We start from the raw sequence: 8,651 nt of genomic DNA, 5'->3' as shown, positions 1-8,651 counted from the left end.
ACTCTTGAAGGAAGTTATATGAAGGAGAAGGACTATCACTAGTATTTTATAAACTATAAAAATGGAAAAAGAAAGCTCTTCTTTAAATATGTTCATTTCAGTATTCTTTCAATGACAATTGGACGTTTCTAGAGAAAGCATTGCACTTGAATCCAGGGGTCCTAGATGTTCACAGCTTCTTGTTTGCTACATTATACCTGTTTTCTAGCTATTTTTGTAAATATCTGAAAGGCTTGCTCCTAGTGAAATGGCAGCTCCTCAGTGGGTGGGCCATATCTAATTCATCTTTCTAATCCGTAATTGAATAAATATTATTTGTTCTTACTTAATATTATTTTCATTATTATCTAAAATTTTTATTTTAAACTGTTAGTTTTTCATTAGTCTACATATTAACTGAGTAACTACTACATGGATTATGGTGGGCTAGTTGCTGCCCAGGGATTAAGAAGTTTAAAGAGGGCTGAAGATGTCTGTCCCCTAGGAGAGAGCTGGAAATGACACGGACTTAGAAGTGGCATAGGGATGAGGCTAAGAGAGAATGACTTGGGAGAAAGTGTTTAGATGAAATAGAATGTGGTTTTATTTGTATTTTGTTATGCAAAGAAACTATATCAAATGCCTTATTCTCTTTATTTATTTATTTTTTTTTTTTGAGATACAGTCTCACTCTGTCACCCAGGCTGGAGTGCAGTGGCAAATCTTGGCTCACTGCAACCTCCACCTCCTGGGTTCAAGCGATTCTCCTGCCTTAGCCTCCCAATTAGCTGGGATTAGAGGTGCCCGCCACCACACCCAGCTAATTTTGTATTTTTAGTAGAGACAGGGATTCACCATGTTGGCCAGGCTCATCTCAAACTCCTGACCTCAAGTGATCTGTCCGCCTCGGCCTCCCAAAGTGCTGGGATTATAGGCATGAGCCACCGTGCCCGGCCAAATGGCTTATTCTTTATGAAAAAAATCTCCATAATTCTTAAGTTGATGCCATTATTTAGAAGTATTTTAATTGCACTTATACTTGGCAGCTGAATTATTTTTAGGTGAAATTTTAACACATGCTAAATATGACAAAAATTCAGTCTTTTGCAGGCATTAGTATGATAGCTCAAGGATTCAGATCATGATGATAAGCTTTAGCAATTTCCATCCACCATACCTTGGCCACTTCTTCTTGGAAAGCCACGAGATTCAAATGGGAGATGTTCACGAGGTCAGGCCCATACACCACTGTGATCATGCGCTGCTCCAGGCGCCCGATGTTCCCCACATCCAAAAGTTCACGTAATTTGGGGTCCTGGGTAATAAATATTGAAAATAATTAGTCTATAACTAGAGATTCCAACGTGATAGCATAACTTCAACTTCTGTTGAGTTAGAATGATTTCAAAACAAAGTTGCTTTTATTCTTACTAGAAAATTGTAGGAGTTTAAGGCTCCCATTCCACAAATGGCCTAGAGAGATGAAGCAACTTGCCCAGAGGTAGTGGAGAGACAATTTCTGGCTCAAGACTATAGCCTGCAGTTAAGTGCTCTTTCTGTGATCCTATCACACATTTTTATGTGTCATGGTTCTCTATTTCCTTCAATCATCCCATAAATTGTGTATTGCAATGAAAAATCTCTATTCTTCTCCTTAATTCCTGAATGCACTAAGACAAAGAAGGTGGTTATTCTGAAATTAAAATATGACAATGCCTACGTAGGACTAGGGAAGAAACACAGCCCTGGCTCTCAGCGTAGACCTGCTCCAACAGTCAGTACTGATGCAAAGAGACACAGAATTAGCGTGAGCAAAATCGTAGTGCCTGCCATGCATATGTTGATTTCAGTTCTGTCCTCGGAATGTACTGGGATTTGGACATAGGGAACTTCTGCAGTCTTTTTAGAGCAAGTTGCATTCTTTGGGTCATCATAAATGGAAATCCTTTGGAGATGTAGTCCTGCTGGGAAAGGGAGTTTTCCAAACATTCAAAGCTCAAAGTGAAACCTAAAATAGGGCTCAGTCAGCTTGGCTGAAGTTATTTCCTCCCATAGGACAGGCCCTGAAGGAAATGAGAAGTCCATGCAGAAAATTAGCATCAAATCAATCACTTAGCAAATTTGCTGGCCAGCTTCTGAGCCAGGAGTACACTTACATTCTTATTTATTTAGCTAAATACTGGGCCAACAGGTCCTGATTACTTAGACTGGCTATTCTGACCTCTTTTTGGAGGTTTTGATATACAGCATCCTTATGAAGAAATAGTAGATGTTTAAAAAAAATCTAAATAGTAGATGTTTAAAAAAATAGTAGATGTTTAAATAAACCACACACAACCAAGAAAGAAAACAAACAAAACCTTTCCAGCTGAGTTACTTTACTTGGTGCCATTAATTCTCTCTTTAGTTAATAAAACTTTCTCTGTTTGGCTGCATGAAAAGTCACCTTTTCAGGAAAGTTATGAAGAAAGAAAACCCCATTTCAAAGCTCTGCCTAATATAACTGAAATCTCACTTTCACTAACAAGTTGAAACCTTATCAAGTACATCAAGCCTCCTAGAAAGATCAAATGCTATCACTAAAACATCAATTTGCATGACCCAGAAAAGGAGAGGTCTATATCAAAAGTTTTATTAAATAAACAATAATAGCAAAAAAGGGAAACATTTAGCACTCTACCATTAACGAAAGATTAAAGGAGAATGTTCGGGAAGAATGAATGTTTTGTGAAGGCTAATTAAACTTGATAACAAGGTGTTTTATGAATTGATTAATTGCATCAAAGTTTTTGAACACCATTGAGACAAGGTTCAAAGAGAAAACATATTAGTACTTGTAATTTTGTGGGGTTCTTTTTGGTACACTCAGAAGAGAAAAAGCATTCTCAGAAATCACCTGAAACTTGTAATTATAAATCACACGTTTTAAATCAGTGATTACAGAGTCCATCAATATATTTACTTCCACAGTCTTTAGTGGGAAAATATTTGGAGATGAATCAGATCTATACATTGGACCCTTTCTTTCCTTCCAGTGATAGCCACACAACTCATTCTCCGGCTTTTTTCTCCCCCAAGCATTTTTTGTTCAGTCTACATTATTTTACTGCCTAATTCTCATGTCCATTCAAAATACTTTTGCTCAAAACTTGATAAACAGATGATTGGTTAAAGATCGCCACCTCTCAGAATTGCAGATACTAGGTTTGGGGGTCAGGGATTCTCTTGAATCATCCTTAAGATAAAGGAACTCGAGGCAAGTAAAGACCACCCAGAGTAGGTGCTCAGAGTAGAAAACAATTCTGGAAAAGAGCTTCTGGGATTTCCACTAAGAATTTATAAGAAACATGACCAACTCTCTGAAATCTTTGTTTGAAAAGTTTCCCCAGTAATTGTTGCTCATATATCTTTTCTTTTTTTTTTTTTTTTTTGAGATGGAGTCTTGCTTTGTTGCTCAGGCTGGTGTGCAGTGGTGTGATCTCAGCTCACTGCAACCTCCACCTCCTGGGTTCAAGCGATTCTCCTGCCTCAGCCTCCCGAGTAGCTGGGACTATAGGGGTGTGCCACCACGCCCGGCTAAGTTTTGTATTTTTAGTGGAGACGGGATTTCTCCATGTTGGCCAGGCTGATCTCGAACTCCTGACCTCAGCTAATGCACCTACCTCAGCCTCCCAAAGTGCTGGGATTACAGGTGTTTTATATTTTTTAAAAGACTATTGGTCTTTATATAATTAGAAATTTATAATGAAGTATTTAGAAGTGATGTCTGGAATTAGGTGGATGAAACAGGCTGGTAAAATGATGCTGCTGATTGAATCTGAAGGGTAAGTATTTGAGGACTCACCACATGATTCTACATCTGGATGGTTAACATTTGGGAAAAAAAAATTTAAAAAGGTTTCTGTGTATGAACTAAAGGAACACTTAGATTTGAGAAACACTTACTCAGAAGAAACCACAATATTTTAAAACCATATAGTTCTGAATGTAAACAGAGAATTTAAAGTATGTAACAAGCCAAGTTTCTTACTAACGTCCTTTTTCGGTGATGGAGCACATTGATTTAAACTATGCTTTGCTTTCTTTTCCAGCACTGGTCATTTTATCTTTAAAACTGTATCTTTTCTTCATTTATTTCATTTTTATCAACACTAACCTTGATTATGTTAGAATTCTCCTTTAAGAAACAAGTTCACTCTTTATTTGACCTGTACTCAATAACGTATCTATTTTTGAATGCAGCTCTTTGTTGAGCATATTGATACGCAAGGGGTAGACCGAGAAAGACACTTGTACCTTCAAGTTGTCCTCAGTTGTTTTCAGACTTTCAGAGAATACACAAAGAGGGGATTGTCTGGACGGACAAACTGCAAATGCATCAAGTTTTTAGAGGACTTTATAGGTAGAAGGAATTTGATGAAAACAGATGTGTAAAAAGTGGTTGTTTTCCAGAGTATGACATTCTCAGTTCTTGGGAAATGGGTGGCTGTGTTTCAGAAACAAACAAATAAAATCAAAATAGCAACAATAACACAAACTGATAGACAACTTGCATGCAAACCACCTTATCTCCCAAACCTATTCTACCAAGGAGCTTTATGTCTGAGTATTTCTTATAGACTCAACTTCCTAAGAAGTTTCCAGAGAAGGATTTACCTACTCAAGTAGGTAAATACCTGCAGAATATCCTAGATGTATCTCCACAGCTGAAATTAACCAGACCAACTCAGAATCCTGGCAGCTATAATTGAATTCCACTTTTAAAGTTAAATCTAGATCATTTCTGTTCCCATAAGTGCTACCAAATAAAGACTGTCTGACTAAGTAAATTCATTTTCTCTCAATCATCAGGATTTGTGATTAAATTACTTCATGTCTGTTGCAAAGAAAGTTGAGTTTTGCTCTTGTTAAAGCTCATGTTAATGATTCCCATTTTCAGGTAATTGGCCACTGAAGAAAGTAAAGACTGTTCTACACCTAAGAAGCAAGGACTCAATTACAGCATGTGTTACTGCATTATATCATTTAAAATATTCAAAATTAATGGAAGGAATAAACACAGGCTAAAGGATGATTTAAAAAAAGAGTTAAATGCTGGTTTGAATCCTTACTTTTTAATACCACTTTTTAAAAAGGTTATTTTATTTGCATGCCAAGTATCTACAAAATAAAACATCTCTTCATGACCTTTAGATTTTATTTTTGATACCAGAAACATTTTTCGTGCAGAAGATATACCTTACTCATTTTTTCATACTCATGAAATGTATCTTTATTGGATTGTAGGCTTATCCAATGATTTGTGTAGGTTAATTTGATTCCCTGCACTTAATGCAATATTCTCAATCTGAATTACAGTTATATGGATGGAACTCAAATCCATTCCTATCAATCATCAAGCATATAAGAGGCTTTCCAGTAGCACTCAGTACAACAGTTGGAAATGAAAGAGATGGATTCCTTATACTTAAGTGAGATTCGTGTGATTCAGCTTCATAGTGATAAAGCTACCTTTTCTTTGAAGGCAGAGCCGACTTGCTATGCTTTATTCAAATTTCATTGTGGAGGAAATGTATAAATTTACGTCCAGGCTGGTTTCCCATCAAACCCTTGAATTCAACATTTGCATCTCAGAAAATAAAACACAGACTAACAAATTCCCCTTGAATCAATGCTTATCCTCATACCTCTCATTTTCAAGGTTTCTTTCTTTTATATATGAGTGTGATGAAGGCTATCATTCTGTTCACCAGGGTGTACCAGTGGCTTAGGCGGCTCACACAGCCAGCAAGCCTTTATAGAGGAAACACCTATCCACTTGCATCAATGATGGCTCTGAAATATGGTGCTGTGAATATTCTTCTAAATAGAGCAAAAGACTCGGAGGATGTTACTTGTTTAAGTATTTCTTTCCCACAAGTAACAGATGGAAAATCTTTAAATATTTTTTAGCTATTTTTTTTTAACTAGAGGGAGTAGAAGGAGAACAGACTGACTATGTCAAAGAAAAGCAACTATGGGTACATACTAGGAAAAAAACGAGCTGGTAGAGGACTGCCCTTTCATATCCCGCAGTGGCATTACCATAACAAGAGTATTCATATTTGTTTTGGGATGGAATAATGATGAATTTATAAAGTCACTGTATAAGTATAGAAAACTGTTGATGAAGAAGAGAAAATATAATTAGCTTAGCCATGCATCTTCATCTGAAATAAAGCGGTTTGAAGCTGTCAGGCTTGAATTGATTGAGCTAAAGTGAACACACTATTTAAGTCTAAAACAAAAAAAAATTAGAAGAAACACGAAGGCGATCATCCAGATAATATTCTCCTGGTTCACAAACAGAGAAGCTAAAAGTTCCCTGGAGTTCCCATGGAGCTAAAAGTTTGGTTGTTCTTGGAAGCAGTCAGAGAGAAGAGATAAATAAAGTTAAAGGAGCATCCCTAAATAGCATCCTAGATTTTCCTCATCTCCAGGAACAAGCTCAGGGTCTGGTTTAATGCAGTTTCGAGAGCTAGGAAGGAAGGAAAGATAAGGGGCTGCTGGAGGGCATTCAGGCAGGCTGACCATAGAAGAAGCAGAAAATGGGATTGAAATAAAGTATCCACAGTCCTTGGACCAAGAAAATTGGGCTCAGAATGTGGAGAGACAGCTTCAGAGCTGGGAAAATGCTGCTATTACCTATTTCAAAAAGTTGCATTGCCTGAGCTATTAGGTTGGTGCAAAAGTAATGGCAAAACCCCAATTACTTTTGCACCAATCTAATAGTTTCCCAGGTTGCAATACACATGCTTGGCAGACAGGATCTTTGTCTGGATGCCCCAGAAGCTGACCCAATCAAAGATCTGAGGACAAGTAATTTATTTTGGAGATGATTGCAGAAAGCACAGTGAGGAGTGGGGAAGTAAGACAAGGAGGGAAGAAGGTCTTTAAAGACTGTGTTAATTTAGCGGTTTACCATTTTGGGCAACTGAGGCTCAAAACACTAGTGCCATTTGGAGACAGAATGAAGAACACATCTTAGGATGTCCCTAAGTAGCCTGGAAACTGCAGCATTTATCTGTTCAGTCTCATCCATCACTGGTGGACAGTCATTCCTGGTGTGCTCTCTTGCATTTCCATAGCCGGAAAACATTCTTAGGACTATATGGGAACTCTCTTTAGGTAACCTCTGTGAGTGAGCCAATAGAATATCAATGGATTGAATACACCTGTTACAACATTAAAGAAGTGATTATAGGAAATAAGGAAATGTTATCTCAATATTGATTAATCTTCATGTATTCTATGGGATCTATAATTGAAAGAATTTCATCAGATAGGCTACTAAGATTCTTTTTTTTTTTTTTTCCTGAGGCAGAGTCTTGCTCTGTCACCAGGCTGGAATGCAGTGGCGTGATCTTGGCTCACTGCAACCTCTTCCTCCCTGGTTCAAGCGATTCTCCTGCCTCAGCCTCCCGAGTAGCTGGGACTACAGGCACGCGCCACCAACCACCCCCTAAATTTGTATTTTGAGTAGAGACGGTTTCACCATGTTGGCTAGGGTGGTCTCCATCTCTTGACCTCGTGATCCGCCTGCCTCGGCCTCCCAAAGTGCTGACTCTGTTCAGTTCTCTATAAAAATGATACATATAACAACAAGTTCTTCTAATTAGTGACTGTGTCAACTACCACACCAGCTGTTCTGTATCTTCTTCCACCTATTTAATCTGCAAACTAACACAGAGAAATAGCTATTGTTATTCCAATTTCACATGAGGTGCTGAAAGATGAAGTAATTTGCTCAGTTTTATAAAATGGTGTAAAGGGAGATTTGAATCCAAGTACACCTGATGGTAAACTCTAAGCCCTCTCCATATCACACCGTGTTACAAAGTATATCCAATTTGATGCAGTTTATATAAAATAGTGCAAATAGTTCAATTGGCAGAATAAAACTTAAATAGCACTCATTCAAGTTACCTTGTTTAGCGATATTTTAGGCAGTTTGTTAAAAATATAAAATAATGCATATGAGAAATCAAAATAGGAAAGAAAGGTGGTCTCATGGAAGTGCTTGCCTTCCTAGCAAAGAGTCGAAGCTAAATGGTCAATTTTAATCATTATTTGTACAATCATCCTTGCTGAAAATAAAAGTGCATGAACTATAGCAATTTGAAAACTAGTCAATGGAAAAAGTAGTTAGCTTTTTCCTCCTCATTGAGTCAGTATTTGTCAAACTTAAAAATTCTAAAGTATAGACAACTTTTCAGCCATGTTTTAAACTATCCCCCCAGTCTTTTTGACATATGCTACCACCTGTCTGCCAGCAAAATTTGTATGCACAGCCCTTACCACTGCAATGCATAAAAAATCCACATGCCCTGAGGGGTAATGGTGTGTGCAAAGCAGACAATTAGGATCCTATGTGCCTTCCTGTTTAAACCCCCGACAAAGCATGAAAAGCATTATATTCCCCTCAACTTTCATCCAAGGTCAATGCTTCTAGCTATCATAATGACGCCTGTTTGTTAATAGAATGCACAGACACTTTTACAATGAGTCCGCAGCATCTCCCTAGTTGATGAGTTCTTTATTGGTGAGATTTAAGTTTTCCTATTTTGTAATGATATCTACTTCCTTCCATGGTACTGTGCTATAGTTAGATGTGTCAAAGGGGCTTCTAAAAC

The 8,651-nt window shown here is 37.5% G+C and overlaps 1 protein-coding gene across 2 annotated transcripts in view; it reads right to left on the bottom strand.

The window, feature by feature from the left end:
- PLCB1 (phospholipase C beta 1) overlaps positions 1-8,651 on the bottom strand; it is a 752,635-nt gene that overhangs the window by 255,313 nt on the left and 488,671 nt on the right. For both annotated transcript variants that reach the window (NM_182734.3, NM_015192.4), the window contains exon 4: positions 1,157-1,294. In NM_182734.3, the coding sequence (NP_877398.1) occupies positions 1,157-1,294 (138 nt within the window). The remainder of the gene's footprint in view (positions 1-1,156; positions 1,295-8,651) is intronic.

Source organism: Homo sapiens, chromosome 20 (assembly GCF_000001405.40).
Source record: "Homo sapiens chromosome 20, GRCh38.p14 Primary Assembly".
Lineage (NCBI taxonomy): Eukaryota > Metazoa > Chordata > Mammalia > Primates > Hominidae > Homo > Homo sapiens.
This window is presented reverse-complemented; position numbering and strand designations above follow the sequence as displayed.